This window comes from Homo sapiens, chromosome 13, assembly GCF_000001405.40.
Source record: "Homo sapiens chromosome 13, GRCh38.p14 Primary Assembly".
NCBI lineage: Eukaryota > Metazoa > Chordata > Mammalia > Primates > Hominidae > Homo > Homo sapiens.
This window is the reverse complement of record NC_000013.11, coordinates 25,570,948-25,585,603: the sequence shown is the minus strand read 5'-3', so window position 1 is coordinate 25,585,603 and position 14,656 is coordinate 25,570,948. Positions and strand designations below refer to the sequence as shown.

At 40.6% G+C, this 14,656-nt stretch overlaps 1 protein-coding gene across 13 annotated transcripts in view, besides 1 other annotated feature; it reads right to left on the bottom strand.

Moving 5' to 3' along the window:
* ATP8A2 (ATPase phospholipid transporting 8A2) overlaps positions 1-14,656 on the bottom strand; it is a 653,878-nt gene that overhangs the window by 440,248 nt on the left and 198,974 nt on the right. For all 13 annotated transcript variants that reach the window (NM_016529.6, NM_001411005.1, NM_001411006.1 and 10 more), the window contains 6 exons: positions 13,912-13,994; positions 10,747-10,796; positions 8,466-8,535; positions 6,705-6,789; positions 5,657-5,796; positions 3,647-3,785 (listed from right to left, as the gene is read on the bottom strand). In NM_016529.6, coding sequence (NP_057613.4) covers positions 3,647-3,785; positions 5,657-5,796; positions 6,705-6,789; positions 8,466-8,535; positions 10,747-10,796; positions 13,912-13,994 — 567 coding nt within the window. The remainder of the gene's footprint in view (positions 1-3,646; positions 3,786-5,656; positions 5,797-6,704; positions 6,790-8,465; positions 8,536-10,746; positions 10,797-13,911; positions 13,995-14,656) is intronic.
* Positions 11,014-11,063: an enhancer, noted in NCBI's record as "active region_7488". NCBI's record gives its function as "activates an Ori minimal core promoter by ATAC-STARR-seq in GM12878 lymphoblastoid cells {active_cell/tissue: GM12878}" and the evidence as "EXISTENCE:reporter gene assay evidence [ECO:0000049][PMID:35858748]".

Here is a 14,656-nt window from a genome sequence, read left to right as displayed (position 1 = left end):
ATTAAAATTTAAAAAATAAACCTCTAAGACCATAAGAAATGGTTTTAAAAGTATCAAATGATGGGTAACAAAATGCAGGGAGGGTGGGGGAAAGACTTTAAATTTCAATTCAGAAATGGTTTAAGAGGAAAGCTAATGCCAACTTAATTACTTTAAAATGGAATACACACTAGGATTTTGTTCTCACTCATCCTACATCCATTAAAAAAAATTACAGACTGCGAAAACTCCACATCTATTGCATAACTATTTAATAGACGTTTTATTCAGTGGTAATAAGGAAATGACCACTACGAAATTCACAAGGGCTACATCTGAAATTTCACTTTAGACCAGCTGATGCCAAATTTTTAAGCTAAAAGAGAAAATCGCCAACTCCTCAAAACACAGCTAGTTAGCATAAATTCAAGCACAGTGTTGCAGGATTCTGGCAACATGCCAATTTCAAACTACTAAAACCTATACACAAGATGATTGTCTATCTACATACAATTCACTGGCTCACAGGAGACACACATGTCTTGGAACTTGATTTGACTGTGTGTTTTTTTTCTAAGGTATGAATAAAAAGTTAAACTTTAAAAATAAATTCTCAAACTACGAGATAGATATATATATTTTAAAAAACCAAACTCTAAAAAGAGCCAACACCTCCAAACACCAAAGATAATTAATGTCACCAAATCTAAAGATGAACTCTTATGGTACATACCACTAAGATAATGCTGACAATTAAAAGCTAAGAGTCAACAACTATACGACATCCCCATTTCAGAGACATTAAAATGTAAAAACAATGTGCACCTTGGAATGGATGAAATGTAGTACCATTCTCCGTGGTCTTCTAAATCAAATTTCAGAAAGCATTTTTTGCAAAAGCTATGTGAATCCCTCTAAATAAGCCCCACACCAGAAGTCAAGAGCCCTGAGACCTAGTACCAGTTTGGTCATTAAGTAGGGTATAGCCCTGGGAAATGTAGAATTTCCTCCTCGAGCTATAAGAATGTTCATATGTAAATATTAAAAAAAGAGTTTTCAGAAAACACTCCTAGTATAGTGCCTGGCACTTGCCAGACACTCCATTTACTTGCTCTGCTTCCCTTTTTTCATCTAGAAGGAGAACTGCTAGATACTTGATCTTCCCAAATATCTTCTGGATACCTTAAAATCCACACAGGATGCATGAAAATGTAAAGTATTATGGGAGACAGGTCCATAATGGTTCATACTACCAGGGGTATGAGGGCTATATGACTAGAAAACAGGCTTAGAAACCCACTCTGTATCTAGAGCATGACCTCATGCTGCTGACAGCTGCCGCCTGTGGTCCCACACTGAAAAGTCTAATAAAATGTCCGGACGTATATGCTTTCCTGAGCCTTCTGCATCATTTGTAGGCTTGACAGATACTTTAAATCACAAGACGACATTTAAATTCTCGGCGTCACCCAAGGCTACAAGCTTCAGTTCCAAAGGTGAAGTGAAGAAACAATTCAGACATAGCTCTCTCAAAGAAATCAATTGTCTAGCTGTTAGAAGCTTACTTAGTAACACCCAAGATGTGTTTGAATCTGACTGATACACTAGATAAAATGTGAATAGAGAAAGCCTCCAGGATAAACATAAGACTTTGACAAAAAGTCCTCAGCTTATAAAGCATCATCTTCTAGCGGTCTTGGAGAGTACTTGCTAAGAAAGATCAATTAAGAGATAGCAAATGATGTGAGCGGTTCTGGCATGAGCACTACACGTTACTACACCCACTTAGAAAAAAAGTACAAAATAATACAATCGTTATTTTTAAAAAATTGTTTGGACAGGTATCAATTATCTCATAAGGCTCAGAGCAGCCTCATCACATACAAGTAAAACTTTCGTTTTTGAGTAATAATCCATTTGTGTTTTCTGGGTTGATTTTCAGCACTTTGCTTTCTCTTGTGTTTATCCCAAACTTAGCTAGATAGGCTCAGGTATAATAAAATGAACACACACGAAAAAGGGCTGCGTGTGCTCCCAGGGGCCGGGCGGTGTGGATGAGAGGCAGTGAGAGGGAGCTGTGGTGCTTTTCCAGCCAGGGCACATCCAAGAACACACTGAAGGTAGTTCAGTCTAGGGCCAGTGACACGCATAGGTTATTAGGCCAGCGGGAACGCTCAAGATCTGGAAAACTAAGAAAGGTTACCACTTTACAGCTCAATTTTAACTTGAGGGGTTATCCACTTTTTTCACATTGCTCTAATAGGGTGGAAAGCATATCACCTAAATTTTAGGTAAGTATTTCAGGGTAACAGTCAACTTAGCATGCAAACAACAGGGGCCACAGATCCATAGCAGGTGTTTTAGGCCAAACTTATATGAAAAATAACACATAAAGGGTCAATGTATATACTTATACAGAAATATAGCATACAAAAAGCAAATGTGTTATTCTTCATTTGTAAAAATGCTACTGACACATCATCAAAGGGCTGTAAGCTTGGGTTTGTATTTTCTAGTAGCAGTGATGATTCTGCACTAAAATACCATCATACTGTTCTCCAAAACCATGCATCTGAATGACAACCAGCACAAATCCAGGGACAAAGTCTATGGCTGATTCTTCAGGGACTGTTTATGAATCCTATGTTACTCTCTTGTGAGCTTAACTTCCGTTGTTTGGGAGCCCAACTTCCATTTAATTAGCTATATCCCTGACAAGAAATGATTACATGGCTTTTGTCTATTTTTTTAAATCAAATTTATCCAAGAAGGCAGGTATTATTTACAACTGAGGTTACATGAGAGACAAAGCTGATTCAAAGATAAGGTTTTCAGGAAAGGGACACCATTGGATTATGTTGAGAATATTCCAAGAAGACTACTCTGAAGAGGACTATAGTCACTTAAATACAAAGGCTCTAGCAGGTTTCTTCCTAAAACACAGAGCACTGACATAGAAACAGATATAGAAATAGAGTCTACTTCTAGCAAGCTATTCTAAGTTATGCAGTGTTCATTTTACCACATATGCACCAGGTCTTGTTACACCATAATGCTGATCAAAGTACCAGATAGTGTTTAAATGTTTCAAATAATCAAGATTAGATTTTTAAAAAATGAGTAGCTTCAACTCCTTTTCAAACTTAAAACGTGCTCCTTTAACAACGGCAGAGTTATCCTGACTTAAATTCCTTTTCTTCAATTTTCATCTCTGTGATGCTCTGCAGTCAAGGAAGTTGTCAACAAGCTGGGAAGGGAAAGATGCAAGGCTCTTAGAAAAGCCCATTAATGGGCAAAACCATTAAAATGGTTATAATTACATAAAATAATAACGCATATTTAAACCTAGTAAAAACATGCTCTCTTAGTCTCAGACTAAAATTTTGTGAAGAAAGCAATAAGAAAATCAAAGCTGTCAAATCTTGAATTCTATGCCCTATGTAAGTGTGTCTAATTCTTTTCCAGGAACTATGATAGTTTTAATGTTTGTAACAGGCATGGAGGCATCTTCATTTGATTTAGGTCAATTTTCCTTAGCCTTGTGAATGAAGATTCCTATAAAACATCATCTGTCAATGAATTTGAGAAACATTTAGACACATTTAAAAGATACTTGAAAAACAAATACAAAACCCAGCATCAGGAAATTATTTGTAAAAATAATTACCTATATTAATCGCAGTTTCTTGTTTGTCTCCTGTCAACACCCATATTTTAATTTCTGCCTTCAACAGTGTTGCGATGGTTTCTGGAACTCCTGCTTGAAGGCGATCTTCTATGGCTGTGGCTCCAAGTAGCAGCAAATTCTACATTGAAAAAATATCCTCAGTTAAAGATTGGCACATACTTAAGAACAGCACTAACAAATTCTGACAAAGAAAGGCAATCAAACGGTTCTGAGACAGTTGTTCTATTTCCTCTATTTTATACTTGTGTCTACAGATGGCATCTGGATGGATGGCATTTCCAAATGCCTTGCAATGGTGGACTCACTCTACACACACAGGCAGCCCAGTACTCATCACTGATTTCTTGATACAGGGGCTTGTTAGAATAGAAGCCATCTGGCAGCAGAGCAGATGGGCAGGTTATCCCGAGGACACTGACAGTACCTGAGCCCTTCCTCTCAGTCCACTAATGAGTAGCATATTATGTCACATTTAACAAAGGAGGAGAACTAATTCTAGATAATACACTTACCTGGCAAAATAGGAGTAAGAGACCTGTGGTGCTAAGGATTTAACAGTGAGAGAAAAAAAATCCAAGTATCTTAAGATTGAGGGTAGCTATAAAATGTTGCCCCTTTTGGTCCTCTTAAAGGCCCAGGGCAGATCAGCTCATGCTGAGGATGGGTGTGGATGTTTGGTTCCCTCCAGCTGCCCGCACTGTGCCTGCTGGTCGGGCAAATTCCAGAGACTGTACAAACGGCCTGCTCCATGTACTCACATCCCAAGTCTCTCCAGGACATAGCACCTCTACTTGGTCACAGACTGTGGGAAGATCCAACTCTTGAGCATCCACCACAGGCACATCACCTATTTAATCACCTTTTTCTAATTCTAAAAATAATTTTGGCTATTTCCAGTAAAACAGGGCAAATAAACACCTGAATTCAGATTTATTCAGTTCATTTTAATTCAGTACATTAAAATGACTGAATATAAATAACTGAATATAAAACTTAAACAAAAAAACTGAGTAAAAAAAAGCAGAGGAGAATTTTTTTAAACCAACAAAGGAATGAAAACAGTAAATAAGTGATGGTTTCAAAGTTATGGAAACTGGGCCAGACATGGTGGCTCACACCTGTAATCCCAGTACTTTGGGATTTGGGAAGCCAAGGCATGAGGACTGCTTGAGCCCAGGAGTTTGAGACCAGCCTGGGAAACATAGCAAGACCCAATCTCTACAAAAAATATGAAACTTAGCCAGTCATGGTAGCATGAGACTGTAGTCCCAGCTATTCAGAAGGCTGAAGTAGGAGGTTAGCTTGAACCCAGGAGTTTGAGGCTGCAGTGACCTATGGCTGCACCATTACATTCTAGCCTGGGTCCTGGGTAACAGAGGGAAACCCTGTCTCTATATTTAAAAAAAAAAGTTATAGAAACTGGAAATTGGATGGCCCTATGGCTGCCAACATGAGACAGAAAAAGCTGAAACCCAGCTCCCACACTTGAAGGAAACCAATAAATTGAAAGTGAGCTAAAGCCTTAGGATAAACTGAAAAGAATAACAACAACAACAAAATCAAAGTAGGCAATGTGGAGTAGCAACGGCAAAGTTTAAATATCATTAGAATAAGTTAGTGCGAGAAAGCTTAGCATGTACAACATCTAACCAGCCTCCACAGCATTCTGATTGCTCCTGTAACTCAACAGCGTGAGTTAATCTCATTAAGCCTAATCTTAAGCAAACCCAGAAAGTCGCTGATGCTGTTTTTGACCTGATATTTCTTAAGCTATCATTAATGTTTAGCTGAGGGTGGCTAGAGCTTTCAGAAAGACCATGAAAATTAAGTGCTTCTTAAAGCAAAGAAAATGATTCAGAGCTAACGGTTCATTAAGACACAAGAAAAGAGAACATCCCTACATAGTAAAAGGATTCCTGTTCAAATACTTTGTGAAATAGGTGGTTAAGTCCTTCATGGAGCTGAAAAGACTGTATTGTGTGCGGTTACCTTCTCAATGATCTCGTAACACTCTTCCAACCGTTGAGCTCTGTCCTTCAATATGGTGCTGGCTTCCTGATAGACTTTCAGCCACTCCTCATACTCATTCTCAGAGAGATCAGCATAAGCCACACAGAGAGTCCGCAAGCCTGCAAGACAGCCACTGGTGAATGGAGGCAGGCAGAACGCGTGACCTCCTAGGGGACAGCCTGTGCTCCCTTTTCCATCAGCATGCCCAAAAAAATTGAAGAGACTCTGTGCTTTAGGTCACTCTAATTCAACACTCCCACATCTACCAAGGGACCTTTAAAAACAGCTCTCCTGTATTCTAACATAAACTACCTCTTCCGTAAGGCTGAGAGTGCGCGAGAAGTCAGAAGAGTGAATTCTCCATGGCAGAGAGGTTCGGGAGCTGTGCATGATCCATGTGCAGTAAACAGGTTTCAGCAAGCAGAGGAGGTGGGAAGTGTGTTTCAAGACAGCAAGGAAAGGCCCCACGTGCTATCCCATGAAAGATCCAGGCTTTCAGGCAGCCACACCCATGCGTGTGTGTGAGCATGTGCTCATATGTGCATGCACGCAGAGCCAGAGGCCAGAAAGCAGCAGTTAGCACTTGAGTGTGGCTCCAGCTATCATGACATTCGCTATCAGGAACACCTGACATCAGTGTTGTTTATAGCCTTCCAGAGAACTCCTTTCCTGCTCACTATGGGTTCCATGAATTATTATTTCCTTAAGTCATGGATAAGCCAGTGACATAAGGACACCAAGAGAGGGACAGGAAAATAACCATATGAGTTTTCTGAGAAAGGGACTAGTAACTAAAGGTGATTCTACACGTTGTGCGTTGGCCTGTCTCTCCCTCTGCACCACTGCTGATGAGTGACAGAGGCATCTACAGGTAAATGAGTTTGGATTTGGCTATGCATCTTGTCACTGCCATGGGCACAGGAGGGGATGGGGCAGGCACTGGAAGAATGTGCCCCTGGAAATCAAGACAACATGCTTGAAAGTACAGCTCCAATGGCCAAAAACAGCATTTCCAAATTCCACTTACCTTCCGTGGCAAAGTATTCCAGATGGCATAATGTTTCCTCCATATATTTTGAGTCTTTTGAAAGTCTCTCAAAAATCACATTATCCTATAAAATAGGGAAACATTGTGACTGGCAAAGCCTTCAGTAAACCTTCCAGCCAGCATACTAAGCATGGCTTTGTTTCTGTTTATCTAACATGCATGAGAATACCCGAGTGGGTAAGTAGGAATTTAGCATTTGGCTGGGCTCAGGCATGAGCTTTGGAAAACAAATTGGGTATGAATGTGTCCAACAAAACCAAAATCTGTTATCTTAAAAGCCAAACAAAAATATGCTGGGGAGAACCAGAAATACAGGAGAATCATTGGAATACATGGGGGCCTATATTCACCAAAATTTGCAAAACTCATATCCCAAAGTTTATCAGGCGTTTGCGCAGAAGGAGAAAGGGTAAAATGCACATCCCAAATTACTCAAGTACAATCCTGCCTCCCAATACGGGAGGAGCTCCTAAGCACAGAGGGCACAACCCATTGGGCGCTGAACTCAGTTCTGCCAAGAAACACACAGGTGCACAGCCCATCTGCCTATGACTATTTCCATGACTGACAAGAAGGGTTGGGGGACCAGATCCCACAGATAATCCATCAAATGTGTTACAAATTGCATAGTTTTAGGCTATTACAAAAATTTTTTTAAACTGAGTTTGGTTTTGGAGAGAATTAAATCCTATAAAAATACAACACACCTTTGCAACATTTTCGTATGTACCTCTTCTATACTGACAGCCCTCCTCTCTCTACCACCTCACACTGACACCTGTTGTACTCGATGTGGTACTTAGAACACAATGGCAAATGAATAAACAAAAAGTTTCAAAAATATATCATATGAGAACAAAACCTAGATGAGCTTAATTGAAGTCATTTTACCATAAACACAGAATTCTTTAGCGAGTCCAAATATAATGCCTTTAGAATTCCCATGCATTCCTTCATTTGTAAAAAGCTCTACTCATCGTGTACTCAAATAAAACCACCCTTCTTGCCACAACTGGTAAAGATTAGTAATACTGTCAACCACTAATTAATCCTAGGAGAGCTCTGTATTCTTGACATAGTCAAATAAAATAAGTTTAATAATTCTTTCCCTCGATACATAAGACTAAAATTTAACAGGATCTAGTTCTATAAGTAAGACTCATAAGCAATAACATCTTTCCTTTGAGATAAACCATTTAGATTTGGTTACTAGAAGGTATACAGGACAAAAAGCCTGACCTAGGAAACTGACTAAAAGGGGCAGTAATAATGCAGCTACACATGGACATTGCCTTTGTACCTAAAACACGTCTCTCTATAATGTATGAGAAAAAAACATAACAATTGAGAAGAAGAGGTGCTAGAGAACCAATATATATCAGAATACTCAAGATTATCATAGGTCAACACAAATTACTTTGTCTTCCCAAAGTCAAAACACAATGCTGGTAAAACTGGAATAAGAATTCCCATTCAAGGATTTTGCATGACACGTGGAGTCACTGTTTCTGAAACCAACGATTTCAGTAAGCTTTTCACTGACCATCTTTGCCACACTGCCCTGAACCACCATTATCTTCAGTGGGCTTTTACTACTAAGTCAACTTCACAGCCTACCTGAAACAGTCTTTCAACTCTGGACAAACAATCAGGGAATGATGAGGAAAGCAGTTAGGAAAAGCGGCAGATTAACAAAGCTGCCAAGAACTCCGCTACGCACAACGCTTCTCCGGTACTTACAGCCCCTTTACAGTAAAGCCGAAGTCGTCCTGAAGGAGTTCGAACAATTACAGACATTCTTTTTCTGTCACTGGGAGAGTGAAAAAAAAAAAGTCATCATTGGTCTGTTTACAGGATGCATATCCCACAGCTGAACACCAATCAAAACAAAAGGGGGTCTGGGGTTCCTAAAAATGAACAAGGTCTATCTTTCCCTGCCTTTTTCTTCAAAGTAGGACCTAACTGTGTATCTCCTACTCTTTTTATTTACATCTAATGAACATAAGCCTATTTCTTTCCCTGCCATGAAAATAGACTAGGACCGCTATTTGCAGTAGGAAAAACAGAAAAGGAGAATTCCAGCACTGACAGTCCACATCTGATTGACTTCTGACTCTACTCTCTAAAAATATTCTTTATTTTCCACCTCTAAGCTATCAAGTAACTTGCCCAGTAGGTAGGAAAGTGGGAGACTCAGTATAGATCCACTTAACTCAGAAGCTCCTCCCTGTGTCATCTTTTAATTGGAGTAGAAAGAAATCACAAACCCGCAGAACACTCCCAATTTAGCACCAAGGAACTCTCTCTCCCCTCACCGCAGCATCTACACTTCCTCACACGTCTTTCCTCATGGCCCATCCTCACTCACCGAGCCCTCAGTGAGTCTCCACCGCCTATGAATTCTTCTTACTGCTCTCCGTCCACCTGTGCAGCCTCACCTCATCTCCCACCAACCCTCCCATGAACCACCACCAGGCTTCGAGCACACACGGGACTCACCATTCTCCTCTTCTACACATTCTGATCCTCCTTTGCCAACATTTCATCCTCCTGAAGCACACTCCAACTACAGAGGGCCCTAGACCACCCATCTCTGTGGCCTTTCAGTGTGGTGGTTCCCAATGGACTATAAGTCTCTAAGAGTCGGGGAGAGTCTCTCTTCAGCTCTGGGTAAATTCCCACATCCTAACCTATAGTGCTCTAGCTGACCTGGATTTGCATTCTCTCTCAACTATCTTAGAGGTGGGCACTCCTAGCAGTTCTTGAAACCCGTGTTTCAGTTTCTCAATGTGTAAAGCAAGTACTTCGCGGGAGTATTATCAAGATTAAGTGGCACTGGGAAAGAGATGAGTCCATGAAAAAGAAATAGACTCACCACTGTAACCACAAATTATCTTTCTGTTCTTTCTTATTCTCCCATATATACATTTTAATACATCCTTGTGTCTCTACCAATATTCACCTGTTTTTATCTAACTCCCTTTTCTCCTCCTCCTTGCCTGTCCAATAACTGCTGGTCCCAGTTAATGTAATCACAGGGCACTGCACAGTTTCCAATAAAAGATGAAGCACACAGTTTGGAGAGATGCCTAGCACGTCGCTCACCTCCACACGCAGGGACACTGTCACCACTTCCTACATGAGCCACCACCGTAATCAGCCATCCCTCCTCCCCTCCCCATGGTTCCAAGTCGATGCCTGCAAACCTAAAACTAAAGACTAGGGCTGGAAAGTATTTCCTACACAAAGATAAAAAACTAATCCTTATTAAAAATAGTTTATAAAGCAGACAGAGCTTTATAACACTGTTTAACAAAGGTTATTCAAAAATCCACCTAATTTTAATAATAGGAAAAGATGCCTTTGAGATAGCAACAGAACTTTGCTTTAGTACTGACAATTCCATGTTAAAAAGAGGCAAAGAAACAAAAAATTAAGATATGTTTCCTTATAACCAACTATGAATGTTCTATGTGAACAAAAAAGTCCAACAAATATTCCTGGGTCTAACTTTTTAAAATTGTACTGGGGAAGAATGCTTCCGAATAAGTCCAGGAAAACTTCCCTACGTGGACCCAGCCTCTAATGGGATGAACTGATCTCATCTGTCATCATTTGTCAGTTTCTCAGATCTCCAGAGGAGTGCTCAAATGGAGCAAGAGGAATGACCTCATGGGACTTGGGAAACGCCAATGAAAATAATGCCCCCATCACATGCTCCAAACTATTCAGACATGTCTGCAGCTGCTGATGCAAGAACATCAGGCTCTGGAAATCTAAAGAAAAAGGAGGACATGGAAGTAGAGCATTTCTCTTGAATAAAACAAAGAAAAATAACCTACTTCACTTTCTTTAATGAAAGTCACAAATTCCAAGAAGAAAAGAGTTTATGGAGATACATTTATTATATTTAATACTTAAGTAATATATTGAATCATACCATACAATCATGTAAACACTCTGATGAAGCTGGTAAATAAATATAATTATTTTATTTCAAACGTATGAAAGAGAAACATACCTAGAAAATTCCAGGACATTAAGGATTCCGAATGTTTGTTCCTGTCCCATCTAAAGGAAGAAAAATAGGCTCTTAACCGAGGTGCAAAGTATTAAAATCTCAAAGCAATTGTCTCCCAAGCATAAACAGACATATATATGCTCTCTCTCTCTCTTCCCACCTTCTAGCCCTTTGCAACATGTACTGTTTTCTCACAAGTCTGGTGGGGTCAGAGCTCCCTCTTCTGGTGGAAGCTTCTCACGTTTCTTCAGTGCTAACAGTTGGGGAGTGCAGGCACTTCCAAGAGATGGAGATAGAGGACACCAGCTGCACAGGTCCGTCAGAAACCTTTGGCCCAGTTATGCTTCTGAATTCAGGATTTTACAAATTATATAGACATATTCTAGACCATCTATCATAATGTCCCCAGCAGGGTCTGGGGTAACATGCTGGTACACAACACATCCGCTTTCTACAGCAAAATGTATGCATATCAGGAAATGAGATTCATAAAGATCATAAACAGCTTCATGTCAGTTCTGATTAGGTTTTGCTGCCAAATAACTCTTCACCAAATTTAGGAAAAATCTTTTGGAATTCAAAGGCATTTGGGTTTCGAATTTGCAGATAAGAGATGGTGAATCTGTACCTGGTCTCAGAGCAATCAATCAAACGCTCTTTTTCTTTGGGTTCTTTCAAGTTAGAATGTCAATATTCACAATTTTTTCCATCTAAAAATTCCAGATGGTGCGCATGCTATTTTCAGATTTTTAATCTAATCTTTTCATTTCCCCAACACTTCACAGTGGAAAGAACATGGCCTTTGGCACCCAATACATGTGAGTTTGAATCCAGTTTCTGCCTCTAAGTGTGTGACTTTCTTATGCATGGCAAAAGCACTCATCTCTTAGGGCTCAGAGAAGTAATCAATGAAGTAACACATTCAAATTACCAAGTATATGACGGAATCATTATCTTCATTCACACCCACAACTCTCCACTCCTTCTCTTTGCATCCTACAAAACAACTAATGATCCACTTCATCCAGCCTTCATCAATCTTTATTCACTTCTCTGGATCCACGAGTTCCGAGTTCCCTTTCTCCACAGCCTGTCCTAACTTTCCATCATATCCCCATTCAGAAGACACCCAGTGCTACTACCACCACCCAGCACCAGGGCTGCCACTCCCAGGAGCCACCCCCTCTCTCACAGTTATATCAACCACGTCCACATGCAGCCCATGGATGTGGCTGTTCTGACTATTGGCGAGGACATTTCATGTAAATATGTAGGAATTTGAGAATTTGTTCCTGACTTGGTAGTACTGCAGTAAGTTTTTTCTTTTACTTATATGCAAAACCTATAATTTGAGAATTGGTGGTTTGATGAATGGTTGAGTAGGATTCTTTTTATTACTGTTATCTACGAGTCCTAACTAATCAGGCAGTCTTTTGTGACCCCCAGAAATATGACCTTAAAACTTTAATGAGGTAACAAAGAGGTGTCAATGCAGCATTATAACACCAGGAGGACAACACCAATAGGCTCTCTAGGTTCCACATTTATTTGGCATTGTGAGTGAAGTGGAAGCGCCTGTTCTCTTCTGTCTCTCTCACCTATGATCCAAGCTCCCCAACCCCCAACCTCCATTTTTGCAATGCAGAGACATGCGGTGGCACCCACACAACTGAAAATCCTATAGTTCAGATTAAAATTCTCCTCCAACTGAAGGGGGGAAAAAGACCTCATTTTTAAAAAAGCTTCTGTACGGGAAATTCTATATTCAATCAGTACTTCATTCCACTTTTAATGATGGTACATTTCCTTAAGCTAAATTCCCTTTGTTGACTAAAATAAGCATAGTAAAAGTAAACATGATCACATGATCTCATCTCTGTACTCCATAAGAAACTGAAGATGCCAATAAATGGGTACTTTGTATAAGATAAGATATTTTATAGGTTTTGCATATAACTAAAAGAAAAAACTTACTACAGTACTCCCAAGTCAGGAACCATACGAAGTTATTATACCATTTGGAAGTGAATTTCAAATGCATTAAAGGTCTATGGATTTAAGGATGCATCCATAAAGCCAAAAACTATAATCCCTGCGTCTTCCCCAAATGGAGGAGTAGGGAAAGGCAAGGGATGGCAGGGACTAGCCCCAGACCCTTATCATCAATGCAGACAACAATAAAACAGCCCTTCTAACTGGTCATCATGAAAAACACCACTGCCTCACCAGTCATAACCATCATTTTCCCCTGTTGCCCATTCCAAGGGTCTGTATTTGACCTCCTATTTGATATAATTATTTTCCTATCACTAAATTTCTCCCTTTGGCCTGTAGGTAAGGAAACTCAGAAAAAATCAGAAAACATGTAAACCCCTTGACTCCAGTTGCAGGGGGGATCCCTCATATAGATAAAAGAGATCAAAGCCCGGCACAGTGGCTCACGCCTGTCCCAGCACTTTGGGAGGCCAAGGCGGGTGGACCACTTGAGGTCAGGAATTTGAGATCAGCCTGGCCAACATGGCAAAACCTCGTCTCTACTAAAAATACAAAAATTAGTCAGGCGTGGTGGCACGTGCCTGTAGTCAGTCCCAGCTACTCCGGAGGCTGAGGCAGGAGAATTGCTTGAACCTGGGAAGCAGAGGTTGCAGTGAGCCGAGATTGCACCACTGCACTCTAGCCTGGACAACAGAGTGAGACCCTGTCTCAAAAAGAGAGAGAGAGAGAGAGAGAGAGATCTTAACGCTGACTCCTCTCCCAGCTGAAGAGACTGAAGCCCAGTGGACTGTGAGGCTTCATTGAGTAAGAACTCTTAGGCTCTGAGGCTACAAAGAGATGTGGAACCTGCCCTCAAAGACAAGTGGGCCGCTAAGTTATTTTCCCAATTATTATAGAACAAAGAGTAGATTCGTGAAGTTCTTTGCTACAAATAATTTCACATCAGTGTATGAAAGACATGTGGAAAAGCATCTTGAAGGGGAAAACAATACTGCAATGCAAAACAACTCGAACAAGCTAATATAATCACATTAACTCCAGTTTGTCACAGGTCTTAATTTTTCACTGAAAGAGAAATTTAGCTATCATATTTACAATAGACATGCCATTTCACACACACAATCTTCACAAAAGCAGGTGATCTGAAATGTGCACACGCATGTTACTCACCGCTTCTATGATGACTGAGAATGGTGTTCTGGCTGTGAAGACAAAGCCCAGCTTTTTAGCTCCTTTCACCAAAGCAGCTTCATCTGTCAAGTGGGAGTTGGTGAAACATTGACATATCACTGGTAGTGACAGAATTCTGTTTAGTGTCACTTTTCAAATTAACAAAATCCGCTCTACTGAAGGAGGCCTGGTGTTATCTGCATAATAGTAAAGACTCAGGATAGAGAAGCACTTGCTTTTCCTACCACCAGGGTTCTGAAATGAGCACTCCTGTTAGATGGGAGGCTTGGATATATGCTAATTCACCAGGACAAGAATGATTTCTATTCCTGCTATTCTCGCTTGGGATCAAGTTCTCTCCAATGAACCTAATAGTCCCATGACTCCCACCAAACATCTCCTCTGAGCAAGGCAGTATTTTAGTTGTGCTGTGGGATTCCCAAGCCTCAGGAAGTGGGTAGAGAGTACCCCCATGCACAGCTTCCCCAGCAGGCGGAAAATCTATGAGGTGGGGAGGATGAGGAAGAAGCCAGCTCTGTTCTTTCTTCAGAGCTCTGTCAAGCCCAATCACCTCTGCTGGGAGATGCAACATAACCGGGGTCCTCCCTTTGCTGTTAAAAAAGAGTCATGAGAGTCAGGAGAGCCCATCCCGGGCTCTCTACGGCTTTGCACCTGTAGCCACAGCCTGGCCACAGGGTGAGGCCAACAGCAGACAGCCGAGTCTGTGGGACGGACTACATGGCAA